This window comes from Homo sapiens, chromosome 20 (genome assembly GCF_000001405.40).
Source record: "Homo sapiens chromosome 20, GRCh38.p14 Primary Assembly".
NCBI classification, from domain to species: domain Eukaryota; kingdom Metazoa; phylum Chordata; class Mammalia; order Primates; family Hominidae; genus Homo; species Homo sapiens.
In genome coordinates this window covers 38,645,103-38,671,152 of record NC_000020.11, presented here as the reverse complement: position 1 = coordinate 38,671,152, position 26,050 = coordinate 38,645,103, and the positions used below count along the sequence as shown (strand labels likewise).

The 26,050-nt window shown below is 49.5% G+C and overlaps 1 protein-coding gene across 1 annotated transcript in view, besides 3 other annotated features; it reads right to left on the bottom strand.

Moving 5' to 3' along the window:
- Positions 4,536 to 4,680: an enhancer, noted in NCBI's record as "145 bp enhancer 112/113 fragment used in the MPRA reporter construct; PK_construct_3170". NCBI's record gives its function as "activates an SV40 promoter by MPRA in K562 cells {active_cell/tissue: K562}" and the evidence as "EXISTENCE:reporter gene assay evidence [ECO:0000049][PMID:23512712]".
- Positions 4,600 to 4,617: a transcriptional cis regulatory region, noted in NCBI's record as "GATA motif; enhancer activity is reduced when this motif is scrambled". NCBI's record gives its function as "necessary for full MPRA enhancer 112/113 activity {active_cell/tissue: K562}" and the evidence as "EXISTENCE:site-directed mutagenesis evidence [ECO:0005528][PMID:23512712]".
- Positions 20,500 to 26,050, bottom strand: part of ARHGAP40 (Rho GTPase activating protein 40) — a 48,845-nt gene continuing 43,294 nt past the window's right edge. Inside the window, exons 12-15 of the mRNA NM_001164431.3 lie at positions 24,966 to 25,106; positions 24,027 to 24,196; positions 22,455 to 22,510; positions 20,500 to 21,396 (exon numbers count right to left, since the gene is read on the bottom strand). Coding sequence (NP_001157903.2) covers positions 21,305 to 21,396; positions 22,455 to 22,510; positions 24,027 to 24,196; positions 24,966 to 25,106 — 459 coding nt within the window. The 3' untranslated portion in view covers positions 20,500 to 21,304. The remainder of the gene's footprint in view (positions 21,397 to 22,454; positions 22,511 to 24,026; positions 24,197 to 24,965; positions 25,107 to 26,050) is intronic.
- Positions 24,817 to 24,936: a silencer, noted in NCBI's record as "silent region_12900". NCBI's record gives its function as "represses an Ori minimal core promoter by ATAC-STARR-seq in GM12878 lymphoblastoid cells {active_cell/tissue: GM12878}" and the evidence as "EXISTENCE:reporter gene assay evidence [ECO:0000049][PMID:35858748]".

Sequence of the window (26,050 nt, the reverse complement as noted above, 5' to 3'; positions counted from 1 at the left end):
ACCTCATGGGTGATAAAGATGCTCAGGAAATCCCACTTTTCCCTCCCCCTTTCCCTCCCTTCCTGCAACAAGCACAAAAACAATAACAACAACAAAATGTGTTTGTCTATTGGAGGCAGGCTGCCTGTGGCTTACCAGCCATGTGGCTTTGAGCAGTGTATTTTATTTCCTGTGCCTCAGTCTCCTCATCTGTAAAATGGGGTTGACAACAATAGTACCCATTTCATAGGGCAGTTCTCAGGTTTAAATGACACAGCTCCGGTAAAGCCCGTGGCATGATGCTCACACTCAGTAAGTACTCAATCAAGAGTGAGCTGCTGGAATGGGGGTAACGTCAGGCAGTGTGCTGGGGATGTCATACCAAGATGTACAAGGTCCTGGCCTTGTGCTGGAAGGACAGCTAAGCCATTAGAGAACAGCTTGAGAGGTAATGGGGAGGGCTGAGGAGGCAGTGGGGTCACAGCGATGGAGAGTGGCTGGCAGGGAGAAGGCTTTACAGAGGAAGTGACATCTCAGCCAAGGTCACTAGTGAGTTTGAGTTCAAGGTGGAGGATGCTTTCAGGAGATTTCTTCTCCATAACTGTCCCATCAGCAAACCCATCGGTGCTCAGCAGAGCCCACTTGTCAGTCACACACATGCCGTTGTCTGTCTCTCAGAAATCAGGACTCAGTTGAGGTCAGGAGTTTGAGACCATCCTGGCCAACATGGTGAAACCCCGTCTCTACTAAAAATACAAAAATTAGCTGGACATGGTGGCGCACTCCTGTAGTCCCAGCTACTCGGGAGGCTGAGGCAGGAGAATCGTTTGAACCTGGGAGGCGGAGGTTGCAGTGAGCCGAGATTGCACCACTGCACTCCACCTGGGTGACAGATTGAGACTCAGTCTCAAAAAATAAAAATAAAAAATAAAAAATACAGATTCTAGTCCCACCTCCAGAATTTCTGATTCAGTAGATTTAGGAGGGGAGCCTCATAATTTGCATTTCACAAGAGTTTCCAGCACACAGATGCTGCTGGTCAGGTGACACTTTGGGAACCCACTTCTCTAGCCTCGTCTCCTCCCACTACACCCCATGCCCTCTCCACACCACTTTTTCCCCACTCTATACCTTTGTCCATACTCATCCCTCTCAACAATTCCTTTCCCCATTCTTACCTCTTATCTGTATGGAAAACTCCTACTCATCCTTTGAAACCCAATTCTTATGCCACTCTTCCTGGGAAGGTTTCTCTGACCCTTCTAGGTATGGTTATTTCCATCTGCTTTCTCTCTCTCTCTTTCTTTTCTTTCTTTCTTTTCTTTCTTTCTTTCTTTCATTCTTTCTTTCTTTCTTCCCTTCTTTCTTTCTTTCTTCCTTTTTCTTTCTTTCTTCCCTTCCTTCCCATCCTTCCCTTCCCTCCCTTTCTCTCTCTCTCTCTCTCTTTCTTTCTTTTCTTTCTTTCTACAGGGTCTCACTCTGTTGCCCACACTGAGGTACACTGCCACAATCATTGATCGTCACAGCCGCAAACTCCTGGGCTCAAGGGATCCTCCCACCTTAGCCTCCTGAGTAGCTGGGACTACAGGCACTCACCACCATGCCCAGCTAATTTTATTTTATTTTATTGTAGATACAGGTGTCTCAGTATGTTGTTGCCCAGGCTGGTCTTCAACTCTTGGCCTCATGTGATCCTCCCACCTTGGCCTCCCAGAGTGCTGGAATTACAGACATGAGCCACCATGCCATGTCAGGCCCCAGAAAAGGTTTTTACAGATCCATTTATTGGAGCAGAGTTTCTCAAACTTGGATGTGCTCATGAATCGCCTGGAGATCTGGTTAAAGCACAAATGCTGATACAGTTGATTTGGGGTGAACCTTAGCTTCTGCCTCTCTCACCAGCACCCATGTGGTGCCAAGGCTGCTGGTCTGATGCTGGTCCAGTGCAAAGTAACTGCAGCCCTTCTCACCCAGCGTTGTCATGAGCTGTGGATGTGCCTGCCTCTAGTATGTGGTGTGCCATTGTGCCTCTCATCCCAACCCAGCTTTCAGTTACATCACATTGGTGGCTTGAAATCGGCCATAGTGAAAGTATCTATATCACAAAAATCAGCAAATGCTAAAAATCAAGCCTTTTTTCCCTGGAACACAGAAACGTTTTCAGCACACAACTGCCTCCTACTTACCCCCGACTCCCCACCCCAAACCTAGACGTTTCTTGAGAACGAAGACTTTCCTTTTATCAGCTGTGTGTCTCCAAGGGTTAGGCGCTATTTTCTCAACCCTGGCTGCATGTTAGAATCAGCTGAGGAGTTGTAAAATAGTGACTCCCAAGCATGAAGCGGGTGGGTGGGTAGAGCCCAGACATCAGTATTAAAAAGAGGCCGGGCACGGTGGCTCATGCCTGTAATCCCAGCACTTTGGGAGGCCGAGGCGGGCGGATCACCTGAGGTCAGGCGTTCAAGACCAGCCTGGCCAACATGGTGAAACCCCATCTCTACTAAAAATACAAAAATTAGCCGGGTGTGATGGCGAGTGCCTGTAATCCCAGCTACTTGGTAGGCTGAGGCAGGAGAATCACTTGAACCCAGGAGGCGGAGGTTGCAGTGAGCTGAGACCACGCCATTGCCCTCCAGCCTGAGCAACAAGAGCAAAACTCTATCTCAAAAAAAAAAAAAAAAAAGAGCCAGGTGAAAGTCTGACCCAGGAATACAGAACAAGATGATGGAATTTTGAACTAAATTGACTAGAAGACATTTTAAAACAAAACTAAACTAAACTAAAAACTAACCCTCTGAAGCTGCCCTGCTGGTTTATAAGGAGGTCTATAACTCCAGTTTGAAAAGTATGAATGCATGCCTGGGGTCCTCTCTGCTCTAGCCCCCACAAAGCCTGCCTGAACAACCTGTTTTCCCGCCTCTCTCCTTGTCTAAGTAGGTGCAGAAGAGTTAGTCACAGAGGCCAGCGGACAGCATGGGCTCAAGAAGCACAGGCATGAGACAGGTACCTGCATTCTCCTCTCCCCAACTACTGTAGACACCATGAATCCATCACCCCGGAGCTCAGACTTCACCTCAGAATCCCTCCCATGTGGCCCAGGCACCTATTTCCAAATATGCAGAGTTGATACCTGAATTCAACACTGTGTGGTCTGAGTAGCAATGAAAATTGCCTTCCCCACCTTATTTTGTGACCCCTTTAATTATAGGTGGTTTCTATTTAATTGTCTGCTCTTATCTCTGGGCTCTTGGTTCTGCTCTCTGCCTCTGTGCCGTCTCCTGATGCCTCCAGTTCCCCAGCGTGAGTGGCATTTTGCTTTGGAACTGGGCACAGGGTCTAGCATACATCAGGTACTTAAACCACATGTGTTGGTATTTGAGAATCTATGAATGGAAAACTAAGCTCTCCTGGTGTTTTGGTTATCTATTATTTCATAACAAGCTACTTCAAAGCTTACTAGCTTAAAGGGAGAATAGTTTTATTTGCTCATGATTCTGTGGGTCAAGGACCTGGTCAGGGTTCAGCTGGAGGATTCTTCTGCTTCACATGGTATTATATGGCTTTACTCATGCAACTGGTAAATGATACAGACTTAAAGAGGGCCGCTCCACGTGGCTGCTTGGGCTTCTTCACATCATGGTGATGGTGTTCCAAGAAGGAGCATTTCAAGCCGCAAAGGTAGAATCTGCTAATTTCTTAGGGCTCAGTCTCAGAGTTATACGGTGTCACTACTGTCACATTCCACTGGCCAGACCAGCCACAGAGCCAGCCCCAATTTAAGAGGAAGGGAAATGGATTCCACTTCTTTTTCCTTTCTTTCTTTTTTTTTTTTTTTTGAGATGGAGTCTCGCTCTTTCGCCCAGGCCGGACTGCAGTGGCGCTATCTCGGCTCACTACAAGCTCCACCTCCTGGGTTCATTCCATTCTCCTGCCTCAGCCTCCCAAGTAGCTGGGACTACAGGCGCCCGCCACCACGCCTGGCTAATTTTTTGTATTTTTAGTAGAGACAGGGTTTCACTGTGTTAGCCAGGATGGTCTTGATCTCCTGACCTCGTGATCCGCCTGCCTCGGCCTCCCAAAGTGCTGGGATTACAGGTATGAGCCATCGCGCCCGGCCTGGATTCCACTTCTTCATGGAAGGAGTGGCAAAGAGTTGGCAGCCATCTTTAACTCACCAAATCTGGGGAGTTTACGGGTATGGGACCCAGTAGGTGCCCAATAAATATTTCTTAATGAATGAATAAGTAAACTGCATTGCCAGAACTGGCTGGGCTCCCCCAGTTCATGCCTTTTCACCCAGATCCCAGGCCTGTCCAGCATCCCCTTGGACAAACTGAGACTTCACTTCTGACCCAGCTTCACATTGCAGCAGTAGGGTGGTGGGTGAATTCCTACCCCCAGCCTGGCATGGGTGAGGCAAGACGGGGATGAAGGCCTTAAGAGTGGGGATCCCACAGCAGGGCATGGGTTGGAGCTTCCTACAAATGAGCCACACTTGGGGGCAGGGAGCCTGGGCTGCCCTGGGCCCAATTCCATTTCATGGAGTTGGAGAAAATGCTTTTTTTTTTTTTTTGGAACACTAGAGGCAGAGAGCAATCCGGGTTGCTATGCAACCAGAGCCTGTGCCCAGCTGATAACACCAGAGGAATTAACTGTCCTTGTCCTGCTCAGGCTCTGGAGGAGGGGCTGACGGCTTTCCAATGCCTCTGCCTCAGCCCTGCCAGCTGAACCTCTGGCCCTGTTATAAATGGGGGAGCCTGGAGCCAGGTCCCAGCCCCCTCTCCTTGCTTCACAAAGAGCAGCCAGGGAGATCCCCTTGTCTCCTGCCAAGGGGGCACCTTGTTACAGTGTGAGGATGGGGCTGCCTGAGGGTCCCTTAGACTCAGGGTGTCTCTGTCCTCTTTGATCTACTAATGAGCTGTGAATTAAAGACGAACCTGAACTCAGAGGGAGTCTTTAAGAAGGGGCGGGCTTGGAGTGAGGACAAGATGGGCAGAATGAGGGCAACTCCTGGGGCAACAGAGACACATAAGTACAGCTTCACCAGGGACCAGCCAGCACTGACCACACAACCCCCGAGGTCCGGGGAGAAGCAGGTCCGGAGAAGGCAAGATGTCCTGGTGGGCAGAGGAGCTGTTTGCAGGGCGGCAGGACTTTGGCATCATTGGAAGACCAAGAACACTCATGTCCAGTGTCTGAAAAGCTGAGGGCAGCCTGTTGGGGGGATTCAGGGGGTGAGTGGGCGAGACCCCGGGGGCCGTATTTAATGTGTTCATCCCTACACTAGACCGGTACTCCTTAAGGGCAAGGAACATGTAACATACGGGATTCAGAGTCAGACCTGTGTTCAAATCCAGCTACTCACAGCTGTGTGACCTTGGGCCAGGCACTTCACCTCTGTGAATTTCCATCTTCTCAGCCACAAAATGGAAATAATCATATCTACTCTCAGATTTGTCATAACAATGAAAGAGATCATGTATCAGGTTGAACCACAGTAAACTGGCATTTTGTGGGTAAAAACTGGTGGAATCTTGGCTCTTTCATTTGGTTCAGCCCAAAATGTCAAGCACTGAGCACATAAGATCATTCAGTAAACAGAAGCAGCTATTATTGTCTTTTGTTGTGCTAGGTGGTCCAATGTGCATGTTCAGTGAATGAATGAAAAAAAAAAAAAAAACAGGATCAGGGCTGAACAGGGGCTAAGTTGCAGTTGGCTGCCCCCAGGGCCCAAAAGATGCTGACAGGCATTATAGGAATCCTCGCCTGGGCCGGGAGAGTGACCCGATGACTCCAGGAGGCTGAGATCACAGCCCCTGCCTGTCTGCTCTGGGCATGGGAGAAGCATCACTCCCCACCCCTTGCCTTCTGTGTTTATTTCTCTTTCTTGCCCCACTTACTGGGCAAAAGTCTTGTTTTCAGGTTACCATGGTTACCATTTACTTGCACACTTACACCATGCCAGGCTCCAAGCTAAGCACTTTGCAGGCATTAACTCATTTACTCCTAACAACCACCTAACTTGAGTCTTATTTTTTTAACCCTTTGAGGTAGGGTTTTAAATTTTATTTTAGCAAGGTATAGTTTACATGCATACAATTTACACACTCATTTTCAGCATCCAGTTCAATGAGTTTTGACAAATGTATATTTCCATGCAACCATCACCACAATCAAGAGGCAACATTTTCATCAACCCCAGAAAGCCCCCTTGGAACCCTTTGGAGTCAGTTCTCCCACGGATTGTCCCAAGAATTCTCCCCTCCTGCAGCCCCAGGCAACCACAGCTGTGCTTTCTGTCACTGTAGATTCGTTCTGACTTTTCCAGCATTTCATATAAATGGAATCATACATGTCTACGTTTTGTGTCTGGCTTCTCTTGCTCATCAGTGGCTTGTTCCTTTTAATTGCTGAGTAGTTATGGACTGAATTGTGTCTTCCTCAATCCCTCAGAATTTGTAGGTTGAAGCCCTAACCCCCAAGGTGAGTGCATTTGGAGATAGGACCTTTAAGGAGGTAATTAGGTAAAAGGAACATCATAAGGGCTGGGCCCTGGTTCATAGGACGGGTGTCCTTATAAGAGGAGGAGGATGCCAGGAATGCAGGCACACAGAGAAAAAGCCATGTGAAGACACATCTGCAAGCCCAGGTAAGAGATCTCAGGAGAAACCAGCCCTACCGGCACTTTGACCTTGGACTTCCAGCCTCCACAACTGGAAGGAAATGCATTTCTGTTGCATAAGCCACTCAGGCTATGGTGTTTTGTTATGGCAGCCTGAGTTGGTGAATGCAGCAGTGTCCCACCAGGTGAGCACAGTTTCCTTATCAACCAGAGGGAGTGGTTTTATAGGTGAGGACAATGAGACTTAGAGAACCCCAGCTAAGGTCCCACAGATCAGCAAAGAACTAAGACCTGGTCTGTGTGACTGTGGGACCTGTGCTCCAACTGGACAGAAAACAACATAGGCAGAGAACTCTTTTGAAGGCTGGGGAAGTAAAGTGCCCTGGGGGGTTCCTGCCTGCACCTGCTGGAGCCCAGGGAACCCTGCCTGGTGGGAGGACACAGGTAAAAAGGAGATACCCTGGGAGAGTCCTGCCAGGCCTCTAGTCTTTGCCCTCAGACACGAGGATACATTGACTGGCACTCGGTAGGAGCCCAGCTGGAGGGGTGGCAGTGCCCCCAGGCTGGGGAGAGCAGATCCAGTGACTTAGTGAGGGACAGGGACCATCCTGGGAAAGATTCTGGTGAAGACTCTGCCCTGCCTCCCTGATCCTCAGTCTACTCATCTGCAAAATGGGGATGAGAATTTGCCTTTGCTGATCTCACAGAGGAGGGAGGAAAGAAGAGGGTGAGAGGAACAGAGAACCTCATCCTGCCACACCAAAAGGTTGGATGGGGAGAGTGATCACTCCCATTTCACAGATGAGAAAACCGAGCTCAGAAAAGTGATGGGACACTGGGATCTGGGCCAGCCCACCAAGCAGAATCCCCACTGCTGATTGAAATGCTGCCTCCCAGCATGGGCTGCTGGACCTTTAGTACCACAGGACAGAGATGCCATGATCAATGCCTGCCTCCCCTGTGGGCAGGAAGGGCATGAAGGCAGGGGTTCTGTCCAGTTTTGTTCATCTTCATATCATCTAGTAGAGTTCCTGGCACATGGCAGATAACCAGCCAATATTTGTGGAATGAATGAATGATAGCCAAAAATACAAAAAATTAGCTGGATGTGGTGGCACACACCTGTAATTCCAGCTACTCGGGAGGCTGAGGCAGGAGAATTGCTTGAACCCAGGAGGCGGAGGTTGCAGTGAGCCGAGATTGCACCACTGCACTCCAGCTTGGGCAATAGAACAAGACCCTGTCTCAAAAAAATAAAAAATAAAAATAGAGAAACAGAAAGTACAATGATGGCTCCCGGGGTGGGTGTAGGGAGGGATGCAGAATTCGTGTTTAATGGGTACAGAATTTCTGTTTGGGAAGAGGAAAAAGTTTTGGAGGTGGTCACGGTTGCACAACAATGTGAATGGACTTAATGCCACTGAATTGTGCACTCGAAAATGGTTAAAATTGTAAGATTTTTGTATGTATATTTTACCACAATAAAAATATACATACCAGCCGGGCACGGTGGCTCATGCCTGTAACCCAGCACTTTGAGAGGCCCAGGCAGACAGATCACCTGAGGTCGGGAGTTCGAGACCAGCCTGACCAACATGGAGAAATTCCGTCTCTACTAAAAATACAAAATTAGCTGGGCGTGGTGGCACACGCCTGTAATCCCAGCTACTTGGAGGCTGAGGCAGGAGAATCGCTTGAACCTGGGAGGTGCAGGTTGCGGTGAGCCGAGATCACACCATTGGACTCCAGCTTGGGCAACAAGAGCGAAACTCTGTCTAAAATACATATATATATATATATATATATACACACACACACATATATACATATCATAACATTTGCTGTTTTAGCCCTTTTGACTGTGCAATCCAGTAGTGGCATTAAGTCCATGCATATTGTTGTGAAAACATCATTTTAAAATTACAAAAACAAGCATGGCTACATTACAAAATAAAATGTAAAATTCATGTGAATATTTGAGAGGAAATCATAAAATTTCACAAAAGAGCAACTTGTGTGGCTGCCTTGGAAGCTTGGAATGGCAGCTAGTTCTGTCTCATTCATGGCAGTATCCCCAGGTCCCATCACAGGGCTGTAGACAGAGGACACCATGAGAACATTTGATTTTAAATGAAATGTCAACTCATATTTTAATTAATTAATTAATTAATTTTTGAGACAAGGTCTTGCTCTATAGCTCAGGCTGGAGTGCAGTAGCGCGATCATAGCTCACTGCAGCCTCAACCTCCTGGGCTCAAGTGATCCTCCCACATCAGCTTCCTAAGCAGCTGGGACTACTGGCACATGCTGCCACGCCTGGCTAATTTATTTTTATTTTTTATTTTTAGTAGAGACAGGGTCTTGTCCTGTTGCCCAGGCTGGTCTCAAACTCCTGGGTTCAAGCAATCCTCTCACCTTGGCCTCCCAAAGTGCTGAGATTACAGGCATGAGCCACGGCATCCAGCCTTCAACTTTTATTTCAGATACATTCAGGGAGTACATGTGCAGGTTTGTTATACGGGAGTATTATGTGATGCTGAGGTTTGGAGTATGGATCCTGTCACCCTGGTAGTGAGCATAGTACCCAATAGGTAGTTTTTAACCCACCCTCCCCCTCCCCCATAGTAGGCCACAGTGTCTACTGTTCCCATATTTATGCCCATGTGTGCTCAACGCTTAGCTCCCACTTATAAGTGAGAACATGAGGTATTTGGTCTTCCGTTCCTGGGTTAATTTGTTTAGGATTATAGCAAGAATAGTGTTTTGAATGGATGAATGAATAATTGAATGAGCCAATGGGTAGAGTTCATGTTTGCTCCAAGCTCACCTGCACTTTCCTCTTCCCTTAGGGCCCTTTTTTGGGAAAATGTCAGGGAATATTGTCCCACAGTGTTTCTGACTCAGGGGCATTTCCTGAGCCCAGGCCTTCTAGAGGGAGTGGCTCAGCCCCTGAGGATTGGCGCCAGCCTGGGTGATGGTCAAGGGCTCTCCTGCCCTTCTCTAGGCTCCACTGTACTCCAGCCTGGGCAACAGAGCAAGACCCTGTCTCAAAAAACAAAAAACAAAAAACAAAAAACCAGCATGACAATAAACATTCTATTGTAATTTCCCAGATTTCAAAGGAATCTTTTTACTCATTATTTTAAAAGCCTGCACAAAACTTCATCTATTCAGCCAGTCTCCCTATGTTTCGTTTCGTTTCTTTTCTTTTCTTTTTTGAGGTAGGGTTTCGTTCTGTCACCCAGGCTGGAGTGCAGTGGCACAATTATAGTTCACTGTATCCTCAAACTCATGGATTCAAGTGATCCTCCTTCCACTTCCTGAGTGCACACCACCATGCCAGACTAACTTTTTGATATTTGGATGAGACGAGGTCTTACTATGTTGCCCAGGCTGGTCTCAAACTCCTGAGCTCAAGCCATTCTCCCTACTAGCCTCCCAAAGTGCTAGGATTACAGGCATGAGCCACCACGCTGGCCCTTATGTTTTGACATTAAATTGTTTCACAATTTTCCATGTTAACCATATTAGTTATGATGAGTTAGGAAGCTATTTGGCCTGGACCCTGACATCCTAAATCTTGGAGCAACACCTACAAGCCCTGCAAAGTCACCTTGGAGATACAGGCACCAGGGACAAGCCAGGTCATACTTAAATTTTATAATTTGTGGGGGCTTTGGTCCCAATGACTTCTGTGGAAACCCAGATCTGCCTCCCAATTCTGGTCTAAGTCTACTTCAGCCAAGGGGATCTCTTTCTTCTATGCCTGGGGTCCTGCAGACATAACTCCTCCTGGCAATGGAGTACAGAGGCATCAGCAGCCTGGATCTTCTCTTAAAGTGAAATTGTGCAGCCAGCATAAACAATGCTGAAAGAATTAGCTTCACGATATAGCCTTTCCACAATTAGAGATTATTTCCTTAGGCTACAAATCCAGATCAACTGAGAGGAAGAATCTGAATGTTTTAACTACTCTTTGAATGTAGTAAAGTTCTAATAGAAATGAAAAGAGGGGACATGTCCTATAAGGTGCTTTTCCCAGTAGCCCACCTAATCTGCCAACCTTGTCCTTCACTTCCTTTACCAAGCATGGTGAGGAATACAGAAGCCAACCAGGCCCAGGGGCTGGTCTGCTCAGAACCCAGGCCAAGAGGAAATGTGGGCACCCACGTCTGTGAAGCAGGAGGAAACCCACTTCATGGGATTGAAAGGGAGGAAGCCTGAAAAGCTCTTCCCATAGTTCCTGGTCCATGCTGGGACCCAGGAGATGCTAGCCATTGCTCTCAACTCTTTACATTTTAGCTCTCATAAAAGGTCAAAGCGGGTCTAAGTCAGGTGGCCATAGAGTATAGGGTTCTTTTGTTTTTGTGTTTTTTTTAGAGACAGAGTCCTGTTCTGTCACCCAGGCTGGAGTGCAGTGGTGTGATCATAGCTCACTGCAGCTTTGAACTCCTGGGCTCTAGTGATCCTCTCACCTCAGCCTCCGGAGTAGCTGGGACTACAGGTACGCACCACCATGGCCGGCTGATTTTTAAATTTCTTGTAGAGGCGGGGTCTCCCTTTGTTGCCCAGGGTGGTCTCAAACTCCAGGCCTCAAGCCATCCTTCCATCTCGGCTTCCCAAAGTGCCAGGATTACTGGCGTGAGTCACAACGCCCACCCAAGGTGCAGGGTTCTGTGAAAGGAAAAGGCAGACAGAATTTGGGGTATTTTTTTTCTTTCCAATAGAGAAGAAAAATCTCACTGAAGGAGGAAAGTGGGGTCTTGGCTAATCATAATCTCTTTGCATTTCCCCATCCCCACCCCTGGTTTAACATCAGCTGCCGCCCCCACTCGCCTTCATCCCATGTGCTTTGTGCCCCCACCCCCGTGACTCATACTCCTCAGATCCATCAGGGCCCAATTGTTCTCCAGGCCTCCGGTCCAAAGCTCTTGATGGATTTAGTAATTGGGGTAATTACGGTAATTTTACCTTAAAGACAGGCAGCTGCAGATTTTCTATTGGGGAGCCCCCTCCCTGGGCCTCCTGCCAGCCAACGTACAGGAACAATGACAAGTGGCTCCCACTCCCCTGCCCCAGAATGCAAAGTGGTTGGGGATGGGGGTGGGGAGTTCTCAATAGAAGGCATCTCCCACCCTCTCAGCAGCCCTGGGAGGCAGGCACGGGACAGCAGCACGGGTTTGCCAGGAATCATTTTCCTTTCTACCACCCCAGCCTTGGAAAAACCAAGAAAAGGGGATGACCCCCTCCCCCAGCCCACCATCATTCCCTGCAAGTCTGTGGATGAAGTCCCTTATGGATCCCTAAAAGCTTCAATTCCACATATCCTGTGATCTCCAGGTGTGAGGAGCAGGCAGGAATGATGGGTCCTTGGAGGTGGTGGCCCACACCTGCCCACAGCCAGGTACCAGGCAGCATCGTCCACCGTCCCTGGAGCAAGAGCCTGGGCTGCCCTGCCCCAAGCGGCAGACTAAGGAATATTCACCCCTGTCCCAGTGCTCTCAGATGCCAAAGAGCCAAGAGCTAAGGAGGACTTCGGAGGTGGAGGACTTGGGAGGTGGGAGAAGCTCTCTAAGCTGAAATCAGCTTAGAGAGCTTCTCAGAGAGGAGCAACTTGAATTAGGCCTTGAAGAATGTATGAGACTCCTTTGGCGTGCCGGGGGCAGTGAGTCCCAAGCCTGTCTCTGGAACAGATTAGCAGCACAGTCTCCTAAAGGAGGATTTGGGGGCTGCATTTAGGGGAGCTGAGGGTAAGCCTAGGGCATTCTCAGAATTCCCAGGCAGGGCGGCTTGATAGATGTAAATGTTTCCTGTCTTCCTAAATCTCTCAGGATCCATTTGCAGCCCCTGCCCACTCTGCCCCCTGCCCGCTTGCCTTCTCTCAATTCCAGCCACACCAGCTATGCAGAGTCCATCTCAGGGCCTAACATGTTGTTCCTTCTGCCTGGGATGCTCCCTTCCACCTCTCACCCACTCACCTTTCAAGCCTCAGCTTGATATCACTGCCCCAGAAACCTCCTGGGAAACCCCAGATCCAGTCCAGCCACCACCCCCCAACCCTATATGTTTGTGTCTCCCTGTCCTTCTTCATTGCATTTACCGTATTGTGAGTATAGAAAAATGTGTGTGATGACTGATTTCTTTTTCCACCCGAGTGCAAACTCCAAAAGGAAGTTCTGTGTGGTGTTGAGTCAATGTTCCATTCCCAGTGCCTAACTCTCAATAGACATTTTTGTTGATTGCACGTTGAAACTTTTCAACAGGCAGAAACTGGAGTGGTGGGAATGCATTCTAAGAAAAGGGGCCAACGTATGCAGAGGCTGTGATGCAGGAGCAGACAGAGTGAGTTCAGAGGACACTGGGGCCAAAAAGGGGAGGGGAGAGGGAACAAGGAGGCAGGCAGAATAGCTGGGAGGGGCTCTCTCTGCTTCATGGGAGTTAGGGCTGGGCTTTTGGGTGGCCCCTGCTAGTGATGAGGAACCTTGGCGAGAGTGAATCTCCTTCCAAGGTGTCTCCTGGAGACACTGTGCCTTGGAGCAAAGGGATGCTTGAGTTGGGGAGCTAGGGGCTGGGAGAAGGGTGGAGGAATCAAAGGTCAGATAAGGGACATGGTACCCTACATTAGCCCCACGGGTTTGTAGAAATTACTGAGAACATAACTCTAGTTAATTGAATTTCCAAATAAGTGAAGTGATACTGTCGACCCAATCCAGATCTCTCAAGCTTGTGACTTCAGTGTGCTCCAACAAGTCCCGCGGATGGAGTCTTCCCTCCAACACACACAGGCTGGACGTTCAGGGGTATGACCACCCAAAGCAGCCTTGAGCAGTAACTGACCATGATGGGGGCTTTTTTTTTTTTTTTTTTTTTTGACAGGATCTCGCTCTGTCACCCAGGCTGGAGTACAGTGATGTGATCATGGCTCACTGCAACCACTGCGACCTTGACCTCCTGGACTCAAGTGATCCTCCCACCTCAGCCTCCTGAGTAACAGGGACCACAGGCATGTACTACCACATCCAGCTAATTTTTAATGTTTTTAAACTGTAGAGACAGGGTCTTCTTTGTTGCCCTGGCTGGTCTTGAACTCCTTGACTCAAGCGATCCTCTTGCCTCTGTCTCCCAAAGTGCTAGGATTATAGGTGTGAGCCACCGTGCCCAGCCCAGAGTGGGCTTTTCAATACTCCTGCTTCCTTGCTTCCCAGGGGTAACCAACCCTGAGAAGTGTCTCCATGGTCTCCCTGGGTTCCCCAGTGGGATTCAGCTCCAGTCACCCACACAGTAGCTGGTGCGATGCGGTAGCTGGTGTGATGCAGTAGCTGGTGTGATGCGGTAGCTGGTTTGATGATGCGCTGCTTATTGGCGCCTTCCCTTGCCTGTCTCATGTCTCCACTCCCCTGCTGCTGTTTCCTTCGCCTCCCACATAAATGACTTTCACTGGAGTCCTTGTCTCACTGCCTGCTTCTGGGGACCCACACTGAGACGCTGCCAAGCCAGGGGATGCCCGCAGGGCACTCTAGGGACTTCCTAATGGAACATCCAAGGCCTGGGCTCCACTACTACCTTGGCCACTACAGGCAGAGCACCCCTCTGTGTGGTCCACATGTGCCAATTGGCCTCACTGTGGTCTTTGTGGCACTAGGCCTTTGCGACACTAGGCCAGACTGGTGCTCCCTGTGTCCTGGGGCTACCTGCAGTTGTTGGGGGCAGGCCACTTCGGGCCACCAAGAGGCATGACCAGTGTGACATGGGAGCATCAATGAATGGCCAGAGGGCTCAGCCCTGTCCTCCAGCACTAGGGAAGTGGAGGGCATTCGTAGTTGCGGAATTTGTCAACTTGTCCTGCTTCTCACCTCCCTCCTTGGGGGTCCCATTTCTCCACCTCGCCCACCTCCCACAGGGGCCAATGAATGGCCCAGATCCTCCTAGGATTGGACCCCAAAGGCCCCGCCCACAGTTCTGGCCAGCCAATCACTGCCTCCGTTGAAGATGGGTACAAAGGGAGGGGTCTGGGTGGAAACAGAGAGAGAGAGAGAGAGAGAGAGAGAGAGGAGAAAGAAAAGAAGAAAGAAAGAGAAAGAAAGAAAGAAAGAAAGAAAGAAAGAAAGAAAGAAAGAAAGAGAAAGAAAGAGAGAGAAAGAAAGAAAGAGAGAGAGAGACTAGAGAGAGCTCCTGGGGAACCTGATTCAGCTCCTGGGGAACCTGATTCATCCCTTAGCCCAGGCTGTCCCAACAATCCCTCTGACCTGCACACAACGAAAGCGTCGACAAGGGCTTTGGCCGAGATCTTTCTCTTCCTTTTATCTGCAGAGCTCCTCTCCCAGCTCATCCCGTGGCTGGCCCCTTCTCATCATTTTGGTGTCGGTTCAAGGGTCGCCTCCTCAGACAGGTCACATCTGCCCCACCCCAGCACCCATGGCTCCTGTCCATGCTGATGGCTTTCTATTGCCAGAACCTAGGACTCTGCCTAGATCCTCCTCTGGCAGAGGAGGGTGCTGAGCCTGCCTGGGGGACCAGGTAGAAATGCCGGGGGGCAAACGCCCTGGGAGTAGTCCTCCACCAGTAAGTGGTGGGGGTTGGTGGTTAACACTCTCCCTTCTTTACTCCACGTGTCAGCGGCGTATTCTACGCGGCTTCCCGGGAACCCCTGCAGCGTGGAGTCCCAGTTGCCCGAAGCCGTAACCTGCTCTTTAGCACACCTTCACTGGCTTCTCCCCTCCCCGCCTCACTTCCCCATTCCTCCACTGCGTCTTTCTGGGATCACCTCCCAAATAAGCACCCTGCCCTCTGGTTCCTCGTTCAGGGTCTGATTCTGAGGGCACTCAATCTAAGACCCTTCCCTGGCCCCTCAAAGCAAAGATTCGCCCACATTCCCCACGTCCTCTCTCGTCTCTGTTTTACTTTTCTCAGCAGAATTGTATTACAATATAAAATCTTTTCATTTCTAGGTTAGTATATCTCTCGCTCGCTAGACTGTGAGCTCCACAAGGGCTGGGACCTTCCTTGATTTGCTCATCACTGTGGCCCCAGCCTAGCCCAGTGCCAGGCACACAGTAGGTGCTTGATATAATTGTTGCGTGACTGTAGGTTTCCTCATTTCATCCTCATCATCCTCTTTGGTGATCTAGAAAGAGCAAACTGAATCTCTAGGAGCATAGAGATTCAGTTTGCAAATTACCTGCAAATTTTGGTTTGGGCAAATTACCTGCAGCCCCATAGCAATAAATGCAGCCTCTCCCAGGAAAGCACACACCTGAGGGCCAGGTGAGAGTCCGCCCCTGCTGAGGCTCATTTCCACCCTTTGTCCAAGGAAACTCTCCTGGTTGAAGACATCTTTACAAATTCCATCCTCCTTCCTCTCAGAAGATGGAGGCAGCTAGGAGCTTCTATTAGCTTACTAAGACTCCTATAACAAACACCACAGGGTGGCTTAAACAACAGAAGTCTATTTTCTCACGGTTCTGGAGGTAGGAAACCCAAGATCAAGGTACCAGAAAATGTGGGTTTTGGTGAGGCTTCTCCTAGCTCGCAGACAGTTGCCACCTCACTGCGTCCTCGCGCCGCCTGTCCTCTCTGCTCTCGTGGGGAGAGAGAGGGGGCTCTGGTGTCTCTTCCTCTTCCTGTGAAGACACCAGCCCTATTGGATGAGGGTGCTACCCTTAGGACCTCATTTTACCTTCATTACTTCATTAAAGGCCTTATCACCAAACACAGTCACCTTGAGAATTAGGGATTCAACATATGAATTTTGGGAGGACACGATTCCATTCACAACAGAGCTCCTTAAGAGAAACATGATGCCACCCTATGCTGGCCCAGACCACAAAGAGCCCGGAGGAGCTGGGCACCCACTGTGAGCTATGCTAATATAGCTAACCCGGCGGTGGAGCTGGTGCAGGATCATCAATCATGACGATGCCACAGAGTAGAAAAAGATGAGCCCTCAGATAGCACCGAAGATGAATGGAGAAACTGACATGTGATTAAACTGGGACCCTCTGCTGGTGGCTGACAGCCCACTCTGAGTGCAAAGTTAGCACAGCAGGGCCTGGGCTCTCAGCACTCACAGAGGAACCTGCCTCACCTCCTGCCAAGGGTAAAGGATTTTCCCTCCAACCACACTGCATCCTGTCATCCAGACCCTGGGAATGAGTGAATGAGGTGTGCAAAGGGACCACCGCAGGTGCTGGGAAGCACAAGAGGATAGTACCATTAGTCACTATTTTAGGCTGTCTGGCCTTTGTTAATAATTAATAATAATAATGAGAGCACTGGCTGAGCACTTGCTATAAGTACTTCAGATGCATTTTCTCATTTTCATACATGAACCCAGGGAAGTGAGAGTTAAATAAGGTGATAAGGGCAACAGCTTCCAGAGCAAACAAAGGGACAGAGAGGGATTCATCCATCCATTCATTCATTCATTCATTCATTCATCCAGCCAATTTTTATTGAGCATCTGCTAGTACCATTATATCCACATCATATCCATCATATCCATAGAAGTGAGAAAAGCCCACATAGTCTCTGCCTTCATGGGGCTACATCCTAGTCAGGGAGACAGAAAATAAAAAACTGACTCAATAAGATAATTTAGGATAGTAATAAATGCTAGGAAGAAAATTCACCAAGGCAATTCCAGAGAGAGTGACAGAAGAAGCAACTTCAGATAGGGTAGTCAGAGATGGCCTCTCAAAGGAAGGGACATCTGACCTGAGATCCAAAGGCGAAAGGAGCTGGCCATGGAAGTAGCTGGGGGAAGAGTGTTGTGGACAGAGAGAACAGCAGGTGCAAAAGCCCAAAGCAGGAATGAACTTGGGATGTCTGAGGAGTTGGAAGGAGGCTCATGTGACTGACTGGCTCTGCAAAGTAAGGTGGGAGGGAGTATGAGTGAAGTGGTGTCACAGACATAGGGCTTCATAGGCCAGGGTAAAGAGTTGGGATATTTGTTTAATGGGATCCCTCTGGAAAGTTTTCAGCAGGAGGGCTTTCAGTAAGATTGAATTTATATTTTTAAAGGCCCACAGTAGCTGCTATATATGAATAGAGAGGAAAGCAAGAAGGGAGAGCAGTTAAGAGGCATGGAGGCCATCAAGGCCTTGCACCATCTGGTGTCAAGATGTAAACTCTTAACTATTTTAGATTATCATCATTCTCATCAGTCACCACCACCACCACCATCATCACCACCACCACCGCCACCATCATCACCACCACTGCCACCATGATTATCATCAGCAGCACCACCAACACCACCATCATAATCATCATCACCATCATCACCACCACCACCACCATCATCACAATCATTATCATTACCATCATCAACACCACAACTAACATCATCATCATTTCCATCACCACCACCACCATCATCACCACCACCACCACCACCATCATTATCATCACCAGCACCACCAACACCACCATCACAATCATTATCATTACCATCATCAACACCACAACTAACATCATCATTTCCATCACCACCACCACCATCATCACCATTACCATCACCATCATCAACGCCACTACCACCACCACCATCATGATCACTATTATCCAAGGCATCGAGATGGTAGTAGTTTGGATTAGGATGGTAGTAGGAACAAAGGAGTGAAGTGGATGGATTGGAGTATATTTTGGAGGGAGGTCCAAAAGGCTTGTAGGTAGACCATGGGAGGTAGAGAGGACATTGGTGAACAGAAGTAGCAACTCTGGCTGAATCCCTTGGTATCTCCCCAACTTAAATAATTTGTCCAATTTTCCTACTGCTGTTCTTGACTCTTCTTGCTGTCACCTATCAGGCACTTGATATTGCTTCAGGAAATCATGGTGTGACTGAAAAAGCCCTGGATTTGGAATCAGGCATCCAAGTTTCTCACCCTGCGTGTGACTTTGAATCCATGGTTTAACTTGTCTGAAACTCAGTTTCTTCATCTGTAAAGTGGAACTATGGTAACACTCACCTCATAGGATTGTGGGGCTAATGCTAGGCTAAATTCATGCTTCATCACATCTTGGCTCTTCAGATGGGGCTGCTAGGGAAACTGAGGCCGCTCAGAGGCTCTTAACCAGCTACAAGCTTCAAATGCTCTATTGAGGAATTCCAGGACAAATGTCAATCCCTCCTTACTAGGTCTCCTTGGTTTAAGAGAAATACCTTCTCTCATTCTGAGATTATTTGTATTGTGGGATGAGGGAGGGAAGAGGGGACATTGAGGAAGTGACCATTACCAAAACACTTTTAAATATGGGTATTTATGGCAAAACAGTTCATATTTATGGTCTAAAATAGTAGAGCTTGCATCTTGACACCAGATTAACCTGTCACTTATCAGCCATGCAGACAAGTAATGTTAACTTTCTGAGCCTTGGTTTTTCCTCTCCTATAAAAAGGGAATAATAACGTGTCACATAGGGTTGTTGTGAGAATCAAAGGAATTAATATCTGTAAAATGCCTGGTGCGTAGTAACTGCTTAGTGACAGCTGCCATCATCACCATCATTGCCCAAACTAAGATACTGGATTATTGTGAAGATCAAACTTGTCAAGCTCTTGGCATCATCACCATCATCAGTGGCAACAGCAGTAGCATCACCATCATTATCATCACCATCAGCATCATCGTTATTATCACCATCATCGCCATCACCATCATTACCATTATTACCCTCACCATCATCATCATTACCATCATCATCATCACCATCATCACCGTCAGCAGCATCACCATCATCATAACCATCAAAACCATCAGCAGGATCACCACCAGCAGCAGCAGCAGCATCACCATCGTAATCACCACCATCATCACCATCAGCAGCATCGCCATCAACACCATCAGCAGCATCACCATCATCATCACCACCATCACCATCGGCAGCATCACCATCATTATCCCCACCATCATCATCAGCAGCAGCATCACCATCACCACCATCAGCAGCATCACCATCACCATCAGCATCAGTATCTCACCATCATTGCCTCACAGGATGAAGCAGGTTCTGTTGATGCCCACCCATATCCCTTCAGCACTTGCCATCTGTGTACAGTGGCCAATGTCTACTTGCCAGTATCTGTATCTCTTCTTGAGGGCTTTCTCTGAGTATTGGAGCACACTGTGCCTGCACTCTGGCAGGCGGAAGTACCAGGAAACAAATACCTATACTCCTCAGGAGCAGCTGTCAACCAATGACTCACAGGAGTTGAATAAACACACTGGCTCCCTTGACCCTTGGGTAGGGTAACTCTGAAGGACATCTTCCATACTGTTTCTCAGAGTTCTCCAGTGGAATTAAGCTCGAGATGCCCCCAGTGGTAGCTTGCTTGTGATTGGGCACCCTTTTATAGACTGCCTCCCCCTCTTTCTCTCATATCCCCACTCTCTTGCATTTCTTAGGACCACTATTTGCATTTGAGTCTTTGCCTCACATTTTGCTTCTGGGGGAACCCAAACCGAAAACACTGGATTATTGTGAAGATTAAATTTGTGAACCTCTTGGCACATAATTAAATGCTCAGTAAACTCATTGTTAAGTGAACAAATAAGCGAAGCCTCACCTGGCCTGAGGATACAGACCCAGGGCAGAGGAGAAGAGGAAGGGTGAGACCTGGGACTGTAGGAGATGAGAGGATTCCCAGAGAGGCTGTCCCTGCAATGCCCCCACCCTTCAGCAATGGGTATCATTACTCCATGCCTCCCCATTCTGAGTTCTCTTCCTGCCCTCCCGCCCCCGGTGGTTGTGGGTTCAAGGCGTGGCTGGATCACATGGGCCAGAGCCCTTTGAGCAGCTCAGCAAGATGCTCTCGTCACCAAGCTCCCACGTCAACTCGCTGGAAGGACAACACCTACCGAGCACTGGACTGGAGAGAAAAACAGGCAAAGTAAATGTGACATTGAACTTGTTGTGCCTTTACTGTTTAAACAATTACGTTTACATATTATATCATATTACAAAATGACAAGATTGTACAAATCAACATGTAAAGCATGAGAGCTGTGAAGCAAAGTCTTCCTCTGTCCATTTCTCCCGGGGCTGGTCATGGCTACAATCTTGGCTTCCTCTCCCTGAGGCCCTAGCCCCTCATCCTGAAAGGATTCTGAGAGGGCAAGGGGCTTGTCCAAGGTCACAGAGCTCTCCTGGTTTTGTCTCTGGTGCTGCTGCTACTACACATTGTAGGGCCACTTTCGAAACAATTTTGCCTGGGGGGAAAAGACCCCAACTACCTCTTGATAAAGGTACTGCATTTTTAATTTTCCTCCAGTCTGGAAGCCACAGACAGAAGCCCATGGAGATCCAAGCGCCCCAAGTGGTGGCGTCATACAGCAAGCTTGGTGTAGGAAGCAACTCTCTGGAGGGCTGGAGGGTGGAGGGGAGTGAGGGCATTGTGTGCACGGTTAAAACATGAGAGCTGTGAAGGGAAGTTCTTCCTCTGTCCAGTTCTTCCAGGGCTGATCATGGCTACAGTGTTGGCCTCCCCTCCCTGAGGCCCTAGCCCCTCATCCCCTCTGAGTGGAGAGAGCACCACCCCTGAGTCTATTTCTGAGGGGTCTGAGAGGCATTTCAGAAAAGGAAGCCTTGGAATAAAACTCAGACCCTCCCCTGGAATAGCTTTGTTCTCATGCTGGGTACATGGACACAGAGCCAGCAGGGGAGAGGAGGAGGCATCCAGGCTGCTCCTGAGACTCGCAGGGTTTAGGTGGGGTTCTGTTTAAGGACCCACTCACCATGCGGGTTGGCACGGTACAGATCTAAGAGGTAGGCATCTGGGTCCAGGCGATGCTCATCTGTGGGAAGAAGGGGTGAAGGAGGTTGAGTGGGAGGCTGTAGGAGATGCTGTTCCCCTGCACAGAGCCCTTCACCAGGCAGTGCACTGTCCCCTGGCTGTATGCATCTTGACTGCTACAGCTCACAGCTACTTCTTTTGCTGGAGAACTGAGCTCCGCTGAGGGAAGATGCCTTGCCAGAAAAGTGACACCCCCTTTCCCCTGGGAAGCCCACGGTCGATGACTGACGGACACAGATGTACTGAAGACCAGTGCCCTTGCCTCAGAATGCAACAACTCTGATGTGATTTGTTCTCTAGAGCCACCTAGTGGATCAGGCCAAGCTCCAGGATGCGAACACTCCTGGCCCCTGCCCCTTCCCTATCCTCCTTCACTCTGTCCCTTGGAACCCTTTTCCTGAGGGGCACCCCCTCAATGCATCGTGTACTACTGAAGACATGTCTTAGCTTCTGCTTCTTGGCCAGTGGCCCTCAAAGTGTGGCCCCCCGACCAGCAGCATCTGCAACTCCTGGGAACTCATCAGAAACACACATTCTTAGGCCCCGCAATCTGTGTCTTAGCCCTCCAGGGGATCCTGAGGTTCTGGTAAAGTCTGAGGATCATTACTCTAGAGAATGCAAAGGGAAACAGCGGCCCATCCTTGGTTCCCACAGAGCCAGGGAACTCCCAGAGCTGGATATGTGTTTGCAGAATTCCTTAAGGACTCCTTGGCCCCTAGGCCAGGGATGAAGTCCATCCCAGCTAGGGTGTCCCAGAGGCGTCGGTTTCACTGGTGCTACTGTGAACCTTCACACTAAACAAATCTTCTGCATCTCTCTGCAAGCCTGAGGCCAGCTCTAGGCAAAATCCAAACTCCAGGATAGGCTCCTAAGACTTGCACAGGCTAACCTTTAACCTTACAGCAGGACTCCACCTGGTTTCATTGAAGACAGAGACCTGAAGGGAGGGCTCATCTGCAGGCCTACTCTGGCCTCCCACAGAAGGGCCCAGTGAGCCTTTGAGGTCGAAGAACTCCCAGGGACCCGGGCTCTGTTCCTGTTTCCCACAGTGGAACTTACTGATATTCCCTCCAACTTCATAGAGGAGGATGTTGGCTGACTCCATGGACCTATGGCTGTAAAACAGAGAGAGAGAAAAAAAAAACTACTGCCTTTTTCTTCTGGAAACATCAAGACCAACAACTGTGCATGGCCCCCAGCCCTGGAAAGGGCAGTCCTCACTGATTTTTGGTCCTGCTGGGGAGAAGCAGCATAAGGACCCTCCTGAGAGAGCTGGAGCCAGTGACAGAGTCCAGCACCCAGGGGCTGGGGAGAGGTAGCTGGAGGGCACGTGGTGAGGCTCAGCCAGGGGTGCACCCCGCTGCGAGGCCCCTTTCTTCTGGGCATCAGAATGGAGACTGCGAAGGCAAGGGAATGAGTGGTGACAGATGGGGACAGGAGCCTGCTGTGAGGGGAAGATTTTGAGTCAAGATGGATTATGGACATTGTATGATTACATATGATAATGATGCCTATCATGTAAGAATCACAATTATTATATGATAATTATGGGTATCCTGAGTTCAATTCCATGGCCTCTTTTCTGCCATGTGGCCTAAGGCAAGTCCCTTCTCTTTTCTGAGTCTTAGTGCTCCCATCTGTTCAAGGAGGAGCTGGATCAGATACTTGCTGAAGATGACAGTCTGAGGGTCCCTTGTGCCAATGCCAACAAGGAAGCTCTTGAGGTCTCAGGCTGTTTCCTGTACCCTAGGAATGATGGCTGCACATCAGCCCCCGACCTTCTTCCAGATCCTTGGCCAGGCTCTGCTCCTTGCTGCAGGACCTTTACTGTGCAGTTTTCTGTGCCTGGAAGCCTCACCTCGCTCCCAGATGACACCAGCTTCCTTGGCTTCCAGACACATTGTTCCCTGCATTTCTTATGAAACCTAATACAGTTTGTAACTTGATCTTTGATTCGTGACTATCTGCTTTATATCCAGGTCTTCCTCAGGACTGTGAGCTCTTAAGAGCAGGGCCTCTGTCTGTTCTTTTCATGGCTAGTCTATAATTCTCTTAATACATGGTGGGCCAGGTGCGGTGGCTCACGCCTGTAATCCCAGCGCTTTGAGAGGCTGAGGTGGGCAGATCACTTGAGGTCAGGAGTTTGACACCAGCCTGGCTAACATAGTAAAACCCTGTCTCTACTCAAAATACAAAAAAATTATCCAGGCATGGTGGCAGGTGCATGTAATCCCAGCTACTTGGGAGACTGAGGCAGGAAAATCGCTTGAACCTGGGAGAAGGAGGTTGCAGTGAGCCAAGATCGAGCCACTGCACTCCAGCCTGGGTGACAGAGCTAGACTCCATCTCAAAACAAACAAACAAACAAACAAACAAACCAACAGAAAAACATGGTGCCTGGTGGTAGGCATTCATTAAATACCTATTAAAGTGAATGAGTGAGTGGTGGTCATCATGATTATTACTTGGAGCCAAGAAACTCTCTAAGATTGGAGAACCCATCTGACCACCCCAGAAAGGGAAGGCCAGGTCAGGCCAACAGTATGTGTAACCCCCTGGTGGCCTTCAGCTCTGGGGTGCAGAGCCCTCCCTGCAGGGAAGAGGCTCCTGCCTCCAGGAGGTGCCTCTTACTGTAGAAGGAGGCTGTCCATGTCCTCACTGTCTTCTTGACCCTTGGAACCAGGGCTGAGGTGCTCTGTGAACTGCCTCAGGACGTGGGCCACTTTGGTGCTGGGGGTGAGAGGCACCTTCAAGGGGTCCTTGATAGGCCAGACCACCTGGATCTTTGCCACCTTGGGAGTCTGCAGAGAGAGAGAGAGAAAGATCCATATACATAAGAGTCAGCTTGCCTGGAGTTCCAACGTGGATGCATAAACACGCATACATGGCACTTACGCAAATGCCCACGCTGAAAATCACAAGATACACACACACGCATACCGGACACTTGGGCACAGATCACAGACATACACATTCCAGATGTGTGTTTGTGTTTCTATGCCTATGTTTGTGTTTCTATGCCTGTGTCGGTGCACTTGTACACACAGCAGGAGTACATGCAACGCACCCACAAACACAGACATGTAGGTTTGTATAAAGACCCATCACCCACACATCGTGCACGGTGCAGCCTCAACGCTCATCAATTTCTCTAATCGGGACTTTAATAAGGAACCGTGTTCAGGACCCCTCCTAGGAATACTCAGTATTTTTGGAAGGCTCTTCCCTTCTACTATCCCCCACCCAGCCCCAATCACCTCACACCCCGCAGAGCGACTCCCATTTTCCCAACCCTCGGCCAGGGGCTGCCGAAAAATGGGGCGGCGGTGACGGTTTCTAGGGGAAGTCTCCGAGTCACTCCATTTCCCCTCCCCAACCCGCTTCTAAGCCCTCGTTTCGCAGCCACGCCTCCTCGCTCCCCGTGACGGCGCCGCAACGCCCCCTGGTGGCCTCACTGGGCCGTTGCTGGCAGCCCGGTAGCGGGGACCTGGAGGAAGGGAAGCACCGCGCCCCAGGTGCCCTCCTGTCGCCTCGGCCCTTCTCCACCTGTCTGGGGTCGGGGGCACTCACCGCCTCGAGGCCGTCCCCCGCCTTGTCCCTGTCTGCGTGCATCCTCCGCAGCCAAGTCTTGAGGCCTGCGTCGCAGAGCTGGGGGCGCCTGCTGCTACTGTCGTTCAGTTTTCGCACCTGGGCGACCAGGAAAGAGGCGACCTGGCCAGAAAGGATCAAGTTTTGGCAGGGGGATAGGACTTCTGGGGGCGAGAGGCAGAGCCCTCTCCAGGGTCATCGTGGCCTCTTCCCTGGCCCAGCGTCCCACAGGGCTTGGAAATATGCATTTGTTGGACACGGGACGGAAGCACTGGTTTGGTGGAATGAGGAGGGGGCATTCAGCCCCTAAAGTGGACCTTGGAGTAGGGGACCCTGAGAGTGGAGCCCACCCTGAGGCTTAGTGGATAGTGGTCCCCTCGACAGAAGCTGGAGGGTCCTGCACCTGCTGAGGGATAGCTGCTCACTGGCACACTCAGGCAGGGGTGTCCCCAAAACACACCTGGAGCAGGCTCTGCTCTGAGAACCCCCAGAGAGCCCACACTGGGGGATTCCTACAGAGACCTCCAGATCAACCCATGCCTCTCTGTGGGATCCGAACCCAGCAGAGTCAGAGAACCCAGACTCCATGGACCCTGCTAATAACATGTTTCTGTCTCCCAGGGTCTGACGAAACTGGAGTCGATTCTGAATTCCCCTTTTTGCTGCTATGTGTGTGCTGTCTAAAGGTGACACACACGGGGAAGAGCGAGGGTGATGGGGGTTCTCCCCTTTCACTTTTTCTACATCTATGTTTTCTGAAGCTTTTCTAACAAGAAAACATTCAAGAATTTCTTGAATTTTTAAAGCATCCTCCAATAAAAAGAAGTATTACAATCCAATGTCTTTCAGTAGCAACATTATCTCAAAGGGCTGAGTGCAGAGAAGAAAGGAACTATGGGGGTATAAGGGGTGTATGAGGGAGGAGTAGGGGACTTTCGACAGAGGAGTTGACTTTTGAACTAGGAGGTCTTGAAGAATGAGCAGAGGACACCAGGCTTCTGCCCTTAGAAAAAAAAAAAAGGGAAGGGAATTCCAGGCAGAGTAAACTGCATAAGCAAAAATTCAGA